Raw genomic sequence first — 21,025 nt, 5'->3', positions numbered from 1 at the left:
CAAGGCAGGCAGATCTCTTGAGGCCAGGAATTTGAGACCAGCCTGGATAACACGGTGAAACTCCATCTCTACTAAAAATACAAAAAAATTAGCTGGGCATGGTGGCTCATGCCTGTAATCCCAGCTACTTCGGAGGCTGAGGCATGAGAACTGCTTGAACCCGAGAAGTGGAGGTTGTAGTAAGCCAAGATCGCAGTGCACTCCAGCCTGAGCAACAGAGCAGGACTCTGTCTCCAGAAACAAAAGACAACAAAACAAAAAAACAAAGAAATACTGGCCGAAGTCTTCAAATTTGGTCAAGAAGCTCAGAAAATGCCAACCAGAGTAAACCAAAGAAATCCACACTTAGACACATCATGATCAAACTGCTGAAAAATAACGATAAAGTCTTTAAAGCAGCCTGAGAAAAACAGCATATTAGTAAGAGGGGGACAACAAATTGAATAACTCATCAGAAAGGTAGGAAGGGATGCTTCATAATTTATAAGTGTGATGGTTGGGTTTCTATGTTTATGGGTGAGATATGTCTCCCTCAACCTTGTTACAACAGTTGGGCATTATCTGCCTGATGTGGGAAAAAAAAGAAAAGAAAACAAAGGCTAGAAGGAAATAGAACAATATTTTTAAAGGAAAGAACTAAACAGCTAAAAAGAAAGAACTGTTAAAGTGAAATTATATATCCAGCAACAATATGTTTCAGGAATGAAGGTAAAAGGAAGACATTCATAGAAGAAAGAAAACTAACAGAATCTGTTCCCACCATGCCTGCTCCACCACATTGCTAAAGGACACCCTCTAGACTACGGCAAAATGATATTAGAAAGAAGTGTGGAAATTCAGAAATGAAGGAAGAACAGCAGAAATAGTAAATATCTAGGTAGAACAGACTACTCTCCTCTTGAGTGCTTAAAACTTGTTTGACAATTATAAGCAAAAATTATAACATTGCCTAATGAAGTTTTCAGTATACGGAGACGTTAATACATAAAGAGCTATAATACAAAGGGTGAAGGGCAAAGGGCCATACAGGGTGATATGGTTTCTACATTCCACTTGAATTGGTAAAATACTGATTCTCAGTAGACTATTGAAATATATGGTAATCGATAGAGCAACTACTAAAAATCTATACAAAGAAAGATAGTCAAAATGAATGTGACATTTCTTAGTGTGTTAGACTTACAGTCTGTAGACTAGGAACCTTACCCATCAACAAACTAGGATGTACAAAGTAAAGCTAACTACCAGGAGTCTTAATCACGTCGACTGTACCAAAATTGTTTTCTTTGAGCATCATTCTTCACCCCCACCCCAACAAGTAATATGGCTGCTTACTTGAAAAGAAGCTGCAGCGTTCCTCAAACTTTAAATCACCCAGGGATCATATGAAAATGCAGTTTCTGTAGGGTCAGGTGTAGGACCTTTAAATCCTACATTTCTCACAACCCCTCAGATGCTGCTGATACTGTCTGTCCAGGTGCCATGCTTGGAGCAGCGAGGGGCTAGATACCACGTAACTACTTGGAGTGCTGTATATTCCACTTGGCGCTCTTATTTTATTTTTTGAGACAGGGTTTCACTCTGCAGCCCAGGCTGGAGTTCTGTGGCATGATCACAGCTCACTGCAGCCTTGACCTTCCAGGCTCAAGCAATCCTCCCACCTCAGCCTCCTGAGTAGCTGGGACCACAAACGTGTGCCACCAAACTTGGCTATTTTTATTATTAGTTTTTGTAGGGAAAAGGTCTCACTATGTTAACCAGGCTGGTCTTGAACTCCTGGCCTAAAGTGATCCTCCCGTCTTGGCCTCCTAAAGTGCTGGGTATACAGGCATAAGCCACTGCACCCAGCCCCTTATTTTGTAATTTACATTTTATATTCCAACTCTTAAACAGATGTGTATGTTCTTTATCATTCACACCAGTGATAATAGTCAATACACATCCCAAAAGAATTATATTAAGAACTCAGAGAATATAAAACTTGATATGAAGTAATTTGAGAGAAAAAAATAGGTCATGTAACCCAGGCCTATAAGGATCTTTTAAAAATCAGATATAGGAACTATTTAAACAACAGATTTCCTTAATACTAATTGGAAACTTTTGAATATTACTGCTCAGAGTGTCAGTGGATCAAATTTAAAGACAGGCCCAAAGTTCCATAACTTACAGTGTTCAAGCTGCAAATATTTTAACTCCAATACAACTTGAATATAAAGCACAAGATGCAATTTACCTGGTATCCACGGACAAGAGTAGTCTGTAATTCTTTTAAAACATATAGGAGGAAGTGCACACCAAGATCCTCTATTATTTTCGCAAGAGTGCTGCGTGCAATGTCTCTGATTTCTTGGGCTCTGTTCTTGAGTAGGGCACACACTTTCAGCAAAATACTAGAAAATGAGAAGTTGAAAAATGACTAATCAAATAAACAGAAGCAATTAAACATACACATATCCTTTAGTCTCTTAATTACTCGTAACTCAAATTTTCCTGTTAATATTCGAAACCACAGCAAGTTATGACAGTACTTTTTCCTCTTCCTGACAAAAGAGACTCAAAAGTAAGGAAGAAAAGAACCAATTTTTGAGTTTCACTAAACTTCTAATTTGTTAAAAAACATACCTTGGCAGATTAGCTTCCATAACTTCTTGTGGAAGGGACTGCATTAGTTTAACCATGGCAAAAGCTAATGGAACTCGAACGACTTCCTCATCATTCACAACCTTTGACTTGACAAGCTTGTGTTCTTCTTCCCTTTTAGTCTGTAAGAAAAATTTAGGTTAAGCTAAAATGAAAATAAATGGATCAGTGATCTACCAACACTGCAACTTTGTATTTGAAAGACAAGTTTTTCTAGAAGGATGGATGATCATAAAAAGAAGAAAGAAAAGGCTGGGTGCGGTGGCTCATGCCTGGAATCCCAGCACTTTGGGAAGCCAAGGTGGGCGGATCACCTGAGATCGGGAGTTTGAGACCACCCTGACCAACCTGGAGAAACCCCGTCTCTACTAAAAATACAAAATTAGCCGGGCGTGGTGGTGCATGCCTGTAATCCCAGCTACTTGGGAGGCTGAGGCAGGAGAATCGCTTGAACCTGGGAGGTGGAGGTTGTGGTGAGCCGAGATCGTGCCACTGCACTCCAGCCTGGGCAACAAGAGGGAAAGTCCATCTCAAAAAGAAAAAGAAAGAAAAGAAAAACAGCTCTTTCTATAGATCTTAAGCCCATTTCTAAGTTTATTTAAAAACAAACCAAATATCTAATTTGAGGATAACCCTTTAAAAATTATAAAAATAACAGGTGTAAGAATGTTCTACTTTTGGAAGAAGCCATGAGAAAAAAATAAAGCCAGATTTTCACCAACGTGGGTTAAGACTGCTGTCAAGTATAGGAAACTCATATAAAACGTGTGTCGGTGGGAACTGTCAACTGTGTGAGTGACACTGTTAGTATATAATAAATACAGGGCCTCAAATAAAGGTTTATTTACAAATATATAAATTTGTATTACAAATATACAAAATATAAATAAATATTTACAAATATACAAAATATAAATCAATATTTTATACCAGGAGTTAGCAAAATTTTTCTGAACAAGGCCATATAGTATTTTTGGCTTTATGGGCTCTGTTGAAGTTACTCAACTCTGCTGTTGTGATGAAAAGGCAGTACTAAACACTACGTAAACAAGTGGATAATTGTGTTCCAATAAAACCGTACAAAAACAGGCCACAGGCTAGATTTAGTCCCTGAGCCATAGTTGGCCAACCCGTGTTTCACCCTGAGAAGGAAGGAAAGGCTCTGGCTTCATGAGAATGCACTGCTGAATGTTATCCCTGTTAACTAGGAAAGATGAATTTTGAATAGTGCAGAACTGACCAGAAAGTAGAAAATGGAAACATTCTAATTTTTAATAACCTTTTTGGGACATGGGAGTCTCTTAATAACTACTTTGGAGATGGAAAAGCATTTATCTACCCTATCAAAATCATAAAGAAGGAGCGTTACTGCTTAGTTGCAGCAGGATAAGCCTGAAGTTGAAGAGATAAGAGTAGAGGGGTGAATTGTGAAGTGTTGAGATAAAAGGAAATCTAAAAGCTGAAATCAATCAATAATCACCAAGAGCCTCAGTGTGACAGGGCTCCACCAACACCAGAATTCACACAGACCTGCTGGACCCCGAATAAATTTATTACCGTAGATGCAAGGCATTTATGTAGCCTGGGGAGAATATCCCCGGTTATGGTTCCTTGGATATTTTTAATTGTTCTCTCTATTTCTTCCTTGTTTTGAGGAAGGAAAGAGACAGGCTTTGTGATACACTCGGATTCTTTAGCTGATGTTCCTCCAGAGTCAGCTGGATCAGGGGTTCCCGGTTGTCCGTTGTCTGACAAACTCTTGCATGTATATTCCTTCTCTTCCTCATCCACACGCTCTAATTCCATGGCCTCAGGCTCTGGTAACTCAATTGCTTCAATTGCGTCTATGTTTAATAAACAACAAAAGTCACCTTAAAGCAAATAATGAAACCACACAGTTGTGGTAAGCAGTTTTTCCCACCAACGTCCAACTTCCGATAAAAAATATCTAATCAGCAACTGTGGGCAGGCAAGGTAAGTGCTGAGGAAAGAGCAGTAAATGAGAGGGCCATGGGTTTTGCTTTCTCACAGTTTAGAGTTTAAAGAGAGACAAATAAACTGCCGATTATAAAAGAACACAGAACTGCAGGTACAGGGTAATTGGGGAACACACTGGGAGGCTTGGGGGGCAGGAACATCTTAACCAAATAAAGCACCTCCCTTCATGAGCATGAAAATCCTAATGACAGCCAACTGCCCAGAGTCTTTGTCAGTTTCTGGTATGCGATTACAATTTTACAAGTTAGTGGGAATTCCTCTTTTCCAATCATCTGAAATAGCTGGTATAGGCTGAAATGATCTACCCCTTGAATGTTTGGTAAAACTTAGCCATAAAACAATCTGTGCCTGGTGTTTTCATCAGATGACTAACTGCAGATTGAATTTCTTTTCTTTTTTTTTTTTTTTTTTTTTTTGAGACAGAGTCTTGCCGTGTCACCCAGGCTGGAGTACAGTAGTGACATCTCAGCTTACCGCAACATCTGCCTCCTGGGTTCAAGCAATTCTCATGCCTTAGCCTCCTGAGTAGTTGAGATTACAAGTGTGCATCACCATGTCCAGCTAATTTTTTGTATATTTAGTAGAGACAGGGTTTCGCTATGTTGACCAGGCTAGTCTCGAACTCCTGGCCTCAAGTGATCCACCTGCGTAGGCCTCCCAAAAGTGCTGGGATTACAGGTGTGAGCCACCGTGCCCCAGCCTAACTGTGCATTCAATTCCTTTAATGGTTAGAAATCTATCTGGATTTTCTATTTTCTTCTAAAGTCAGTTTTTGTATTATATTTTTCTAAGAATTTGTACATCTCAGCCAAGTATTCACATTTATAAATACGAAGATACCTTTTCACTTAATCGTGACGCTTTTTAATTCCTAGTAATGTTTATTACATCTTACATTTTTACAGATCAATCTTGTCAGGCATTTGCCAATTTATAATGTTTAAAAATTTTATTTTAATTTCTTTTTATTTTTAGACATAGGGTCTCACTCTGTCACCCAAGCCAGAAGGCAGTGGTGCTATGGTGATCATAGCTCACTGCAGCCAGCTCCTAGGCTCCACTGATCCTTCTGCCTTAGCCTTCCAAGTTGCTGGGATTACAGTTGTGAGCCACTGTCTCTGGCCCAATTTATAATCTTTTCAAATACTTATTTATTTTTAGCTTTGTTGATCTTTTCTATTGTATCCAGTTTATTTTTCACCAATTGCTGCTTTAATTTTTAATTACTTATTTTCTTACACTTTCTTTCCATTCATTGTGTAATGCTCTTTTCACACAAGAAGGTGATAAAATTGGATTTCTATATAAATAATCTACAGCTCACATTTTTTCACTAATACAATTTAGACTAGCCTTTTCTTTTGTTAAATAAAGTTTTCCAAGAATACTTAAACCATTTATTTTAGCCTCCTTCCTGACTCATTAACTGTCCATTGCTAGTAAGAGCAGACAAAGGGAATAAGTTGAATGTCACCATCTTTAATTAATTACCATACACTATCCAAGAATAAGATGAAAATCTTGTTTAAGAAAGTTTAAGAAACTTACTTTCTTCATTCTCAATTTTTCCCATTTGTTCTTCAAGAGTTTTGTGGTCAAAGTGGAATGCTTCTAACACTATTACTAGCAAACTGTTAAAAAAAAAAGTATACAGAAATGTTCATTTGATTATTAATATCACTGGATTATAAAAGGAGAGGAAATTTAAACACTAATAAACATTAAAATTATTTTTATTAGTATTTTTAATTTTAACAAGTATTAGCATAACCTTATTAATACAAGATAAAAGTAAATTGAGATTACAGAAAGACTAATTCACAAAATATTTTTTAAATTACTTTTTTTTAAATTTATTTATTTATTATTATACTTTAAGTTTTAGGGTACATGTGCACAATGTGCAGGTTAGTTACATATGTATACATGTGCCATGCTGGTGCGCTGCACCCACTAACTCGTCATCTAGCATTAGGTATATCTCCCAATGCTATCCTCCCCACTCCCCCCACCCCACAACAGTCCCCAGAGTGTGATGTTCCCCTTCCTGTGTCCATGTGTTCTCATTGTTCAATTCCCACCTATGAGTGAGAATATGCGGTGTTTGGTTTTTTGTTCTTGCGATAGTTTACTGAGAATGATGATTTCCAATTTCATCCATGTCCATACAAAGGACATGAACTCATCATTTTTGGAAGTCAGTGTGGCGATTCCTCAGGGATCTAGAACTAGAAATACCATTTGACCCAGCCATCCCATTACTGGGTATATACCCAAAGGACTATAAATCATGCTGCTATAAAGACACATGCACACGTATGTTTATTGTGGCATTATCCATAATAGCAAAGACTTGGAACCAACCCAAATGTCCAACAATGATAGACTGGATTAAGAAAATGTGGCACATATATACCATGGAATACTATGCAGCCATAAATTACATTTAAAAAACAAAACAAAAATAAGAAGTTTGACCACACCTGACACCCAGTTTTTGATTGATCTGTCCCGTTTGTAAGACATGAATGAAATGTTTCAAGTAATACATATACGCTGACCAAGAGAGATGTTTGCAAATGGCTCCAATAATCTCTGTGGCAGCAGTGGTTATATTTTCATGCTGTAAAACAAATCAAGAACATCAATGCAGAACAAGTATTTGCTAATAAAATGCAAGGCTAACTCAGTATATTGAAAAAGTTAGTAAGTTCTCAGTAATTACAGAAGAGAAAGAATGTCCAAACTATACTAATTTTTTCCCTCTAACCCCAGGAAAACATGCTATAGATTTAAAGGAATGACATCATTCTTTAAAGGCTATTAACATATTTTGGACTCTTTTCCACTCAGACCTCCCTGATAGGTTCAAGACTACAGAAAGCGAATGAAATAAATTCAATGTAGAAAAATCGACAAATGACAAAAACTATATATTGTGCTACTCAGCCCTCAAAAGTACATTGTCGGTGGTGGGGGTCGAGGGGAGGGAGATCATCGGAAAAATAGCTAAAGCATGCTGGGCTTAATATCTAGGTGATGGGTTAGTAGGTACAGCAAACCACCACGGCACATGTTTACCTATGTAACAAACCTGCACATCCTGCACATGTACCCTGCAACTTTTATCAAAAAAAAAAAAAAAAAAAAAGTACACTGCCTCAGAGACACCTCTTTCAGGCCATGATGAAAAACAGAGAGTGGACTTACCTTTAGACCTTAAACTAGAAAAGCAGGCAAAATACATGAAACGGACCAGGCGCGGTGGCACACGCCTGTAATCCCAGCACTTTGGGAGGCCGAGGCTGGTGGATCACAAGGTCAGGAGTTCAAGACCAGCCTGACCAACATGGTGAAACCCCATCTCTACTAAAAATACAAAAATTAGCTGGGCATGGTGGTGTGCACCTGTAATCCCAGCTACTCAGGAGGCTGTGGCAGGAGGATCACTTGATCCCGGGAGGCGGAGGTTGCAGTGAGCCAAGATTGTGCCACTGCACCCCACCCTAGGCGACAGAGTGAGACTGCGTCTTGGAAAAAAAAAAAAAATGCATGAAACGACAGTTTCCAAATCTTGGATATCAACCACTGCAGGCCAGTGATCTCTGAGAGAAAAGAAATAAATAAAGTGAGGCTTATTAATTACCCCCAATTTACTGTGTGGAGAGAACTGTTAAGTTGCAGCACAGGAAGAGAAACCCAAAAAGAGCCCAGTGGTCTTTCTGAGTTAGGAGACAGGTTTGAGGCTACGGTAGCTAGAGTCCACGGGGCACAGCACCAGAGAGGAGAGCTGCACAGAGGAAAGCTGCACAGAGCAAGCCCCTAGAGTCTTCGGCTGAGTACTGAGCAGTAAGCGTGAGTAAGGAAGACACGGGAAAAGAACCACAGAAGGGAACAGGCAAAACAATCATCAAAGACCATATAAGGTTGAGGCTAGTTCACAGTCCTATCAGCCAGAGTGAAATGCCTCATGCTACACAGGGCATTGGGTATTTAGGTACTTAGAATGGTAGTGTCTCAGTACCAGGGCCATATTAGTCATAAACTAAAGGCTGCTCCTGCCCTAAGAGAGCTTGAAAGCAAGACTCTAAAGAATTAGACTATTCATAAGTAACCTAACTGCACCTGAGAATAATTCTCAGGAATACTTAAAGACATCCAAATGTACCCAACACCCAGTAAGGTAAAATTCATAATGTCTGGCACCTAATAAGAAATTACAGCTGGGCATGGTGATGCTCGCCTGTAGTCCCAGCTACTTGGGAGGCCAATGTGGGAGGATCACTTGAGACTAGCCTGGGCAACAAAGCGAGAACCCCATCTCTACAAAAAATAAATTAAAAATTAGCCAGGTGCAGTGGTGTACACCTGGAGTCCCAGGTACTTGGGAGGCAGAGGTAGGAGGATCGTTTGAGTCCAGGAGTTTGAAGCTGCAGTGAGCTATGATCATACCACTGCACTCCAGCCTGGGAGACAGAGCGAGACACTGTGCAAGTTTTCTAGCAGCCTTGGCAATAATTTATAAAATTCTCATATGGTTATAAGTGGTTAAAACATTAATATTTAGAAAAATAAAAGAAGTGAGAGAAAAATATGAGCATGTTAAGGAGAGACATGAAAGATATTTTTAAAAGATGAAATTGAACTTCTAGAGATAAAAAAGACAATTCTGAGAGGGAAGATTTACTGGATGGGATTTACAGCAGATTAGACAATGCAGAAGAAAAGATTAGTGAACCTGAAGACAGAGCAGCAGAAAAATGAAACAAAATGAAACCCAGAAAAAAAAAAGATGAAAAAAACAAAGCAAAACAATATAAAAGTCTCTGAGTTATGGAACAACTTCAAGTGACCTAATAATGTACACTGGAGTCTCCAAAGGCAAGAAGGGGACCCAAAAATATTTAAAGAAATAATATTTGAAAATTTCCAAGTTTGGCTGGGAACAGTGGCTCAACCCTGTAATCCCAACACTTTGGGAGGCCATGGTGGGTGGATCACTTGAGGTCAGGAGTTCGAGACCAGCCTGGAAAACATAATGAAACCCTGTCTCTACCAAAAATATAATAAAATTAGTCAAGAGTCAAGGCGTATGCCTGTAGTCCCAGTTACCAGAGAGGCTGAGGTAGGAGAATCACTTGAACCTGAGAGACAGAGGTTGCAGTAAGCAGAGATTGTGCCACTGCAGCCTGGGTGACAGAGTGACATTCTCACTCCAGCCTGGGTGACAGAGTGAAATTCTGTCTCAAAAAAAAAAAAGAAAGAAAAAAAAAGAAAATTTTCAAGTTTGATGCAAACTACATATCTACATATTCAAGAAGGTCAATGAACCCCAAGCACAAGAATCATAAAAGAAACGACACTAAGGTACTCACAATCAAATGGCTTAAAACCAAAGGTAAAGAGATGCATTTTTAAAAGCAGTTAAGAAAAAACTATGAAAAAAATCCAGAAACTGTCTACAAGGGCCAGGCCATACAATAACAACAAAAAACAAAAAAACAAAACAAAACAAAAACAAAAAACCCCAAACACATTACATTTGGGGGAACAAAGTTAAGAATAACTTCTCATTGGAAATAATACAAGCCAGAATACAGTTGAGCACCATCTTTAAAGTACTGGAAGGAAAAAACAAAAACAAAAACAAAACAATAAACCTGTCAATCTAGAATTCTATACCCAGCAACATTACCTTGCAAAAACAAAGACAAGAAAAGACAAACAAAAGCTGCAAGAATCAATCACTAGTAGACCTGTACTAAAAATTAAGGGAAGTCCTCTTCTCAGAAATAAAATGAAGTCCAGGCACAGTGGCTCATGCCTGTAATCTCAGTACTTTGGAGGCTGGGGTGGGATGGTTGCTTGAGGCCAGGTGTTTAAGACCAGCCTGAGCAACAAAGGAGACCCTGTCTCTCCAAAAAAAAAAAAAAAAAAACCACCAAAAACTCACATACACACAAAAAAAGGAAACAACAACAAAAAAATCCTCCTTTGTTTCCTGCCACAACAAATAAATAAGAAATTTTAAAAATATAATTTAAAGAAGAAAAATGATACCAGATCAATAACTGGATCTCCACAAAGAAAAAAAGAGCACCAGAAACTACAAATATGTAAGCAAATATAAAAGACCTTTTCTTTATTTTCAAAGAGCTCCTTAAAAGATAATTGACTACTTAAAGTGAAAATGACAACAATGTACTGTGTGGTTTAAAATGAATGGAGAGGCAAAACCTATGGCAAAAATCCCTCAATAACTAATAAGCCAATGGAGATAAAATAAAATCTCAACAAGTACAATTAATCCAATAGAAAAAAGATAAAGAGAAAAAAAGAAAAAAATTGGGTCAAATGGAAAATAACAAGACTCAGATCTAAACACAACCTTATAAATAATCATATTAAATGTGAATGGTCTACATACCAGTTAAAAGGTTGTTGGACTGGATAAAAAACAAGACCCAGTTAAAAGCTACCAATAAGAAACCAACCTTAAATGTAAAGTCATAATTAGGTTAAAAATATAAGGCTAGAAAAGGATATACCAGCCGGGCGTGGTGGCTCACGCCTGTAATCCCAGCACCTTGGGAGGCTGAGGTGGGCAGATCACCTAAGGTCAGTAGTTAGAGACCAGCCTGGAGAATATGGCAAAACCCCATCTTTACTAAAAATACAAAAATTAGCTGGGTGTGGTGGCGGGTGCCTGTAATCCCAGCTACTCAGGAGGCTGAGGCAGGAGAATCACTGGAACCTGGGAGGTGGAGGTTGCAGTGAGCTGAGATCACGCTACTGCACTCCAGCCTAGGTGACAGAGTGAGACTCCATCTCAAAAAAAGGAGATACCATGTGAACATCAACCAAAGCTAAGTATACTTTATTTTTTTCCTGTCTACACACCATTCATATTTCAATGGCATCAAACAGTTAGGTTGTGCTTACTAGCTTTTAAACTAGAATATAAGGGAGCTATCTTTTAACTACTTAGGTAATTCTTTTAAACATTTTGAATATCCTGAAACAACAGAGGAAATCTATTATTGTATAAGGCCATGTAATCAACAGTATAAATTTAAGTCACAAATCCTGACATTACTGCAGTTAGATTTGAATTTCTATGATCATTTAATACCACCTTTCATTAAACTTTTTTTTTTCAAATAGTCTCGCTCTGTCGCCCAGGCTGGAGTGCAGTAGCGTAATCTCGGCTCACTGCAGCCTCTGCCTCCTGGGTTCAAATGATCCTCCTGCCTCAGCCTCCCGAGTAGCTGGGATTACAGGCATGCACCACCATGCCTGGCTAATTTTTATATCTTTGGTGCACATGGGTTTTTGCCATTTTGGCCAGGCTGGTCTCAAACTCCTGACCTCAAGTGATCCACCTGCCTCGGCCTCCTAAAGTGCTGAGATTACAGGTGTGAGCCACTGCACTTGACCTCATTAATCTTTTTAATCAATAATTACTTATCTAGTCTTTACTATGTGCCAGGCACCATTCTAGGCACTGTGTAATATAAAGGTTAAAACAGCCCTAAGTTGGAATACCAGTTCTGACTCTGGGTGTCTCTGAGAAAGTTATATAACCTCACTTCTTCTCAGATTACTCTCCTGTAAAATAGTAGTTGAAGAATAGTCCCTACCCTACTCCAGAGAGTTGAGTTGTTGTGAGAATGAAGCACTTGAAATAGTGCCTGGTACCTGGTATGGTGTTAATGATAACCTACTATTTCATTTCATTTCTTGTAAATCATTTGCAAAAATAATGACTGCTGACTAGGGGAGTTAACCAGATTTAAGTCCTATGACACAAAAATAAAAGTATGCAATTTTAATAATGGGATAATTTCTAGGAGGAAGAATATTTTGCGCTCGGCCTTTGTGAGCTAATAATAGCAAAAACACAAATAATAGCCACCATTTATATAGCATTTACTATGTGTCAGACACAGTTCTAAGAACTTTAGAACTATTCTAAACCTCTAATTATGGTGATGACATCAACACAAACACCACCAACTCCATGTATATTCTGGCAAAGTGTGTCATGGTATGGGAAGAGGGTCCTTGGTTTCTAGATCTAATGACCTACCTTGAGCATTTTCTCATCAAAAATTGGAGTCATGGCATAAGGCATGATGTAATTCTGAAGAGATTTAGAAGACAGAACAACTTTGCCTTCCATTAGTTGTTTTGCAAGTTTCTTCAAGGCTCTTGCTCTTCTGTGGATCTATGGGTAAGATAAAATATGAATTAGTTACCGAATAATCTCACCTACAACCAGCTCCATTTTAGTATCGTATTCTCTTTTCATAAAAAGATTAAAGGAGTGGCCAGGTGCGGTGGCTCATGCCTGTAATCCTAGCACTCGGGAGGCCGAGATGGGCAGATCACCTGAGGTCGGGAGTTCAAGACCAGCCTGATCAACATGGAGAAAACCCCGTCTCTACTAAAATACAAAATTAGCTGGGTGTGGTGGTGCATGCCTGTAATCCCAGCTACTCAGGACGCTGAGGCAGGAGAATCACTTGAACCCTGGAGGCGGAGGTTACAGTGAGCTGAGATTGCGCCATTGCACTCCAGCCTGGGCAACAAGAGCGAAACTCCATCTCAAAAAAAAAAAGACAAAGATTAAGGAAGTGAAACACAGTCCATGTGTTACAAGAGCAAACACCTGTGCCTTGATTTGCTTTCAGAGATATAATCCATAGCATTTGTTTAACAATGGACCCAAAGCATTTACACTTCTTAGGAAAAGGCAGAGAAAAGCGACACTATTATTAACTGTGGTTTGTGATACCACCAAAGAAATTAGAATCCAGGAAATGATCATCTTAACACAAATTTCAATGATGATCATAAAGACCAAGGAAAGAGAAGCTTAAACCTTTTTGGAAAGTTAAAACATGTCTTTCCAAATGAGGTAGAACTGTTTGAAATATGTATGCTTATGTCGTAGGTAGGAAAAAGCAGAATTGTCTTCTACCTGAATGTGCTTCATGTTCTCAAAGAAGTCCATTTCTGGGTCATGGTAATGAGTAAGTTGTACCAAGTCTTTGAATTCCAGTTGGTTTGGAAAGGTTTGAATTAAACAGGAAAGTATTGTGGTATAATCCTGCTGAATACTCTGTAAATATGAAGTGGAGAAAAAACATTTTATTTTAAAAAGAATTTGTTTCTAATATGAGGAAACAGAAAAAAACATAAAATTTTAAAAAGTAAAATATTTCCACTGTTAAAAAAAAAAGTCAGGATTGCTTGAGCCCAGGAGTTTGAGGACAGCCTGGACAACATGGTGAAATCCTGTCTCTACAAAAAATACAAAAATCAGCCAGGTGTGGTGGTGTACTCCAGCCTAGGCAACAAAGTGAGCCCCTGTCTCAAAAACAAAAAACAAAAAAAACCTGACAGCTATATTAGATCCAAAGTGACTGGTGGCCAGGCATGGTGCTCATACCTGTAATCCCAGCAATTTGGGAGGCCAAGGCAGGTGGATCACTTGAGGTCAGGAGTTCGGGACCAGCTTGGCCAACATGGTGAAACCCCGTCTCTACTAAAAATACAAAAATTAGCTGGGCGTGGTGGCATGTGCCTGTAATCCCGGCTACTCTGGAGGCTGAGGCAGGAGAATCACTTGAACCCGGGAGGCGGAGGTTGCAGTGAGCCAAGATCACGCCACTGTAGTCCAGCCTGGGCAACAGAGCGAGACTCCGTCTCAAAAAAAAAAAAAAAAAAAAAAAAAAAAAGCAAAAAAAAGTGCTCTCCTTTCTAGACCCACTCCCATTAAAAGTCTGGTGACTATTTACTCAACCAAGTATTCTCATTAAATGCACTAAGCCTGACTACTTTTCTATACAACAGTAGCAAACGTGGGAAAACAAAACAAAACACAGCCTCAGACAGTAGTGCCTAAAACACAAAGTTATATACCTCTGTCTGGCTCTTCAGACCTTTTCTCAATTTCTCCAGGAGTGAACGGTGGATGATTTCTCTATAGTCTTTCTCTGTGACATTCAAGGCAGCTAGCTTTTTGATGATACTCATCAGGCACATGCTGGCATTATCACTTAAACTCATATCTCCTAACTGCAAAAAAGAGAAATAAAAAAGAAATTATTCTCTGTAATAACTACAATATGGAATATTACTTCCCAGTGCAAGCATCTACAAAATTCTGTCACTGTGCTTGTAAAAATGCCTACTAAACAAGTTCCCACAAATATTTCAAACCTAAGGGAGAACCAAATGTTCTGTGAGGAATATAATACTGTAAAAGGCTGAAAAACCACGCTTCCCAAGAAGTGTCATTTAATTTCAGGCAGCACTATGAAATGTCCTTGTTAATTAGTTTTACTTCCCAAAGCAGGCAGTCTAAAAGGTTCACTAAAGCCAGTTTTCAATATTCAGTATCCGGTCATTACTGAAAATGACAGAATTGGCTGCTCCAGAGTTTGTGGTTTGAAGAATGTCAAAGTGAGTGTAGGGAAGGTATCCTTGACTCAGCCAGCCAGGCAGCGACTTAGAATTTTTTGTGCTGAATTTTGGCATGATTATGAAGAATGAGTATAAAACAGGGAGATTATTTTTTCATATATTACGTAATCCTTAATATTAGATGAATAACTATAAAATGCCACAAAGAGATCACTGATGCCACTACATGATTAACAATAATCAAAGGTTTCATTTTCTGCATTTTTGGATTTTAATTTAGTTCAGCAACATAGCACTTAATATATTCCAAACACTTTTTAATTCTCTTATAACTTCAATAAAAAAGGGATAATTTTCAATTAGTATAGTTGCATGTTTAAAAATTGACATAATTGACACACCATAAAATTCACCCTTTTAAAAAACTTACTATTTGGCTGGGTGCGGTGGCCCACACCTATAATCCCAGCACTTTGGGAGGCCAAGATGGGCGGATCGCCTGAGGTCAGAAGTTCGAGACTAGCCTGGCCAACATGGTGAAACCTCGTCTCTAATAAAATGCAAAAATTAGGTGGGTGTGGTGGCGTGCCCCTGTAATCCCAGCTACTATTCGGGAGGCTGAGGTGGGAGAATTGGTTGAACCTGGCAGCAGAGGCTGCAGTGAACCAAGATCACATCACTGCACTCTAGCCTGGGTGACAGAACGAGATCCTGTCTCCAAAAAAAAAATTTACAATTCAGTGGTTTTAAGTATATTCACGAGGTTGTGTGATCATCACCACTAATTCCAGAACATTTTCATCACTCCCAAAAGAAACCCTATACCCATTAGAAATCACGCCCCATTCCTCCCTTTCTGCAGCCTTTAGTGACCTAATGTACTTCATCTCTATGGATTTCCCTATTCTAATACATAACTTCTTGATTTTTTTCAAAATGCTTTCATATGTATTATTTTATTCACAATATTTGCCTTTTAAATCATGAGAATAACTGTTTTGCCAGACATAAGATTCTTCATCTAAAAGAAATTTAATCCTAAAAACCTTTGTCCCCCCTCAAAAAACAAATTTAAAGATCAGGTCACTGTATTAGGCAGCCGTATTACCAAAACAATAAAAAATAATTTAAAAATTTTGCTATAATAACCTACCTCTAGATTATAGAAACAATTATGCATAACTGGAATTAGGTAGTTAACATCCACAATTTGCATTTCTTTAATGTAAGAGGTGATGGTCTGGAAAGTCTCAAAGCGAACGTCGAAGTTGATATCATCAAGATGTCTTTGATCGAAGGCGTTAAGCTATAAGAAATGCCATTGAAGTTATATAAAAGAAGGCATATAAATCTTCAGTAAACAAAAATGATAATACTTTTGAAGCCAAAGAGAAACCCTTCTTTCTTACCTTGACAACATCAGTAATATATTTTAACCCACTCTCAAAATCAGAAAGAGTCTGAAAGGAAAGAAAACAGTGTATTTATCAGTGAATAAAACTTTAACTTTTCTGCCCTCCTCCCCTCAGCTACCTGTCCCCATTCAAATTCATATAAAAACATCACCCTGGCATGAAGAAAGCCCCTAATATGGTTTACAAGTCATAATTACATTTTTTTAAAAGGGTGATTTGGAGTAAAAATGAATAGTACAGACCTCAAAAACCGTACAAAGCAATTTTCTTGACAATTTGTTCTTAATAACTGAGAAAAGTTTTGCTATAGGCTTGAGGAAGCTTGTAGGGTCCACACAATGCTTTAACAAGTTTTGTACTGTCACCAGAATATCAACCTCTGTATCCTTGAGAAGAAATAATCAGAGAAATCATATTTCAGTAAGTTATAAACTGGTCAACTTATACTTTAATATATTATAGCATAGAAAACAATTGTGAATAAGATGTAAAAGTAGTAATTGGAAAAATTATTTTATCGTCTTTTAAAAGTTTTTAGCATTTTAATTTAATGTAAAACCCATAAGAATGTGTGAACCAGTTTCTTCCTTTAATTCTAATAAGCAATATATGTAGTTTTGAAACATAATTTCTTCTATTGTCTAATCAAAAAAGATACAAGAAAATGAGCTTGCTGAAGTACAGTCGTCCCTCGGTATCCAAGGGGGACTGGTTCCAGGACCCCAAAAAATACCAAACTCCAAGGATGTTTAAGTCCCTTATATAAAAAGGCATGGTATTTGCATATCACCCACACACACCCTTCTGTATATTTTAAGTCACCTCTAGATTACTTATAATACCCAATACAATGTAAATGCTACGTAAATAGTTGTTATACTGCATTTTTAAAATTTGTATTATTTTTATTTTATTTATATATTTTTTGAGATGGAGTCTCACTCTGTTGTCCAGTCTGGAGTGCAGTGGCATGATCTCAGCTCACCACAACCTCCACCTCCTGGGTTCAAGCGATTCTCCTGCCTCAGCCTCCTAAGTAGCTGGGAGTACAGACATACGCCACCATGCCAGGCTAATTTTTTTATTTTTAGTAGAAACAGGGTTTCACTATGTTGGCCACCCTGGTCTTGAACTCCTGACCTCGTGATCTGCCTGCCTTGGCCTCCCAAAGTGCGGGGATTACAGGCGTGAGCCACTGTGCCCTGCCAGTTAAAGTTTCTATCATTTTTATAATTATATTGTTATTTCTCCAAATATTTTCATCTATGATTGGTTGAATCCACATATGTGGAAATGTGAATACAGAGGGCCAACTGTATACATTTCTGGTTGTCTACAGATCTGTGGTCTTCTAAATTGAACAACTATGTGGGGAGAAATGTTTAGTATCACTACTGAGGTCTGACAAATGAGCTTGAGCCACTGGAGGACTCCTAATTAAGATTGAACTAGGGTTTGAAAATCATATCAGGAACACTTAGCTGTGTCTGAATATTAAAAGTCTGATTTTATTCTGTTTTGCCACTGTGATCTACAATTAAGATTATATAATGAGGCCGGGCGCGGTGGCTCATGCCTGTAATCCCAGCACTTTGGGAGGCCGAGGCGGGCAGATCACCCGAGGTCAGGAGTTCCAGGCCAGCCTGGCCAACACGGTGAAACCCCATCCCTATTGAAAATACAAAAAAACTAGCTGGGCGTGGTGGCAGGCACCTGTATTCCCAGCTACTTGGGAGGCTGAGGCAGGAGAATTGCTTGAACCCAGGAGGTGGAGGTTGCAGTGAGCCGAGATTTTGCCATTGCACACCAGCCTGGAGGACAAGAGTGAAACTCCATCTCAAAAAAAAAAAAAAAAAAAAAAAAAAAAAAAAAAAAAAAAAAAAAAAAAAAAAAAGATTACACAATGCACTTCTTGGGTTCCAGGCTTGTTAGAGAAAGAAAAACCCCTGAAATGAATCAGAAGCTAAACAAGGGAAATAAAGGGGCTAGTACTTTGTTGTTGTAGATGACGATGTCTCCGCTTTCTTGCCTGCCCCCATTCCTAGTGTCTGTCCCAGTCTTTTCCCTCTATTTCTAATTTTTTTAATTTCTATATAAAGTATTTTAAGTTCCTTGCGACAAATGCATCACAAAATCTAGCCAGTAAAATTGCTGCTCGCAATTAAACCTAGTGATAAAGTGCCACTCTAGAGACAAAGTTAAGTGTCCTATGAGTTTGTACCTCAGCAATATTGCCACGGTGGAGGAATGGAAGGAGAAGCGTAATGAGTACAGAACTTTGTTCTTTGTCTTTCATAAACTTGCTGATCCTAAAGAAGGAAAAAACGGATATATAAGGAACATATACAAGGATATTTCTCTAAGAAGTTAAACTTTTTGTAGAAAAACAATGACTAAAGACACAGTTTTAGCATTCCAATACACAGCTAGCTTTTAAGTATGTGTGCATGTATAAAAAGTTTACCTCAGTTACTTAGCTGTGCTCACTCTTACTCCTCTCCAACATCAAGCTCATGGCCACTATTCTATTTCTTTTGCAATATCTGATTGTGTGGGTTAGAGTGAACAGGTGAATAGGTGGGTTAGAGTGAACTCCAGTCTGGTAATTAGTAATTGTTTTATTTTGAAAAGAAATAACATTTTTAAGTGCCAAGACTTAAGGGTTTATGTACAGTATTTCAATTTAACACCCATGATAGCCCTGCAATATAGGAATCATCAGCCTGATTTTGCCCTGAAAAAAACTGAGACTCAGAGAAACTGATGTCTCACAGCTAGAAGAAGTACAGCAGGTCTTTCAAACTCTGGTCTTTCTGGTTCCTAATCTCCTCTCATCATCCTTCTACTACTACATAGCCTGGGATGAAATTTAATGAGTGTATTAGTATGATTTCCCACTCTGCATAACTTAGAAATACAATAGTATTTTAAAATGCATTGCAAAGAAGTTTCTAGAGGATTCGAACATATCACTTTTTGTTGACACTGTTGTAAGTAACAGAAAAAATACATTTTCAACAACTAAGCCTTGTAATGGTCAACTTAAAATTAAGATAGAATTGTTTCTTGCACTCAGGTTTATTAACCTTTCCCTTTACCGAAATCACAATACACTCCTAGGTCTACTGCCAAACAGACTCTTTAACAACCCTTGTGAGATCTTGACTCAAAAAAACCGAACAATCTGCTCTTTTAAGTTAATTATTTTTATCATTACACTAAAGAGTAAAAAACTGCAATTCCACAAAACTCAAAATACACAAATGCTAAACAAACAAATCTATTAGTCTACTTTAGGATTTTGAAAAATCTGTCCCCTTTAATTTTATTAAATAAAGGCAGATGCTATGAACGGTTTCTAGTAAGTAATCCAGCAGAGAAAGGGAATTCTGCATTAACTTAAAAGTAAAGGGCATTCAAAAATACTAAAAAACTTTTTAGCTTCTTATTGCCAGATTCCAACACCTGAAAAACAAGATAATAATTTTTTTTAAATTTATTTTATTTTATTTTATTTTTGAGATGGAGTCTCACTCTGTCGCCCAGGCTGGAGTGCAGTGGCGCGATCTCGGCTCACTGCAACCTCCGCCTCCTGGGTTCAAGCCATTCTCCTGCCTCAGTCTCCTGAGTAGCTGAGATTACAGGTGTCCACCACCACGCCCAGCTAACTTTTGTATTTTTAGTAGAGACGGGGTTTTGCCATGTTGGTCAGGCTGGTCTTGAACCCCTGACCTCAGGTGATCCACCCACCTCAGCCTCCCAAAGTGCTGGGATTACAGGTGTGAGCCACCACGCCTGGCCAAGATAATAATTTTTTAAAAAGTTAAAACCAAGGATGGTAATGTTATCTTTTAAGTATCAACATATCACTTACTTTGAAAGAATGCCAAGCTCTTTACTGACTTGTGCTCTATTCTTTTTCTTTTTCACCTTTTCTGCGCTTATTGTGGTTTTGCTGAGATACTGAAGAATTGCAGGTACATGAGGTAGAATTAATCTTCCTCCTATTGTGATAGACTCTGAAATAGATAGTGATTTGATTTGATTTTAATAAACTCTCTTAAGGCATAATTGTACAAAATCTTCATGATGATAAGAAAAGCACTCAACCACTATGAACATTTAAGTTAAATTTCAATTCTAAATAAATTCTAAATTCTAAATAAACAACTTTCTTCTTATTCAAAATAGCTATATTACTAGCTAAATCAAGAACTTATTTAAGAGACCCCTGAGGCTTTATTTAAACCATTTTTTGGTAATAGTAAGGGAATTATTTGGGATAATATGGTAAGAAGAATGTAGAGACATGACAGTAGAAATCATTTTCATAATTTCCTGCAGCAGAGTTGAGACTTCTTGGAGAGTAAATAATCTATTCTTATAACTACAAAGAAAATTCAGTTTATATAAATTAGTATTAGTTCCCAGGGAAAAGAAACTTCTGAGCATATGCTCTCGAGTGAGTCAAATTATACTGATTTTTTTTCTCTTCTAAGGAAACAATTGCTACAGCAGAAGTCTAAGAATTATCTGCT

The 21,025-nt window shown here is 38.0% G+C and overlaps 1 protein-coding gene and 1 non-coding gene across 2 annotated transcripts in view; one reads left to right on the top strand and one right to left on the bottom strand.

Moving 5' to 3' along the window:
• Window positions 1-21,025, bottom strand: part of UTP20 (UTP20 small subunit processome component) — a 106,514-nt gene that overhangs the window by 27,300 nt on the left and 58,189 nt on the right. Inside the window, exons 31-43 of the mRNA NM_014503.3 lie at window positions 20,362-20,506; window positions 18,709-18,796; window positions 16,730-16,873; window positions 16,482-16,532; window positions 16,226-16,378; window positions 14,569-14,724; window positions 13,625-13,765; window positions 12,731-12,868; window positions 7,125-7,264; window positions 6,190-6,272; window positions 4,201-4,487; window positions 2,626-2,765; window positions 2,237-2,393 (exon numbers count right to left, since the gene is read on the bottom strand). Coding sequence (NP_055318.2) covers window positions 2,237-2,393; window positions 2,626-2,765; window positions 4,201-4,487; window positions 6,190-6,272; window positions 7,125-7,264; window positions 12,731-12,868; window positions 13,625-13,765; window positions 14,569-14,724; window positions 16,226-16,378; window positions 16,482-16,532; window positions 16,730-16,873; window positions 18,709-18,796; window positions 20,362-20,506 — 1,823 coding nt within the window. The remainder of the gene's footprint in view (window positions 1-2,236; window positions 2,394-2,625; window positions 2,766-4,200; window positions 4,488-6,189; window positions 6,273-7,124; window positions 7,265-12,730; window positions 12,869-13,624; window positions 13,766-14,568; window positions 14,725-16,225; window positions 16,379-16,481; window positions 16,533-16,729; window positions 16,874-18,708; window positions 18,797-20,361; window positions 20,507-21,025) is intronic.
• On the top strand, window positions 470-571 carry LOC124903119 (small nucleolar RNA U13). The gene has a single exon (XR_007063651.1). It is a non-coding gene; the product is annotated as a small nucleolar RNA U13 (small nucleolar RNA).

The sequence above is a fragment of the Homo sapiens genome, chromosome 12 (assembly GCF_000001405.40).
Source record: "Homo sapiens chromosome 12, GRCh38.p14 Primary Assembly".
NCBI classification, from domain to species: Eukaryota; Metazoa; Chordata; class Mammalia; order Primates; family Hominidae; genus Homo; species Homo sapiens.
This window is presented reverse-complemented; position numbering and strand designations above follow the sequence as displayed.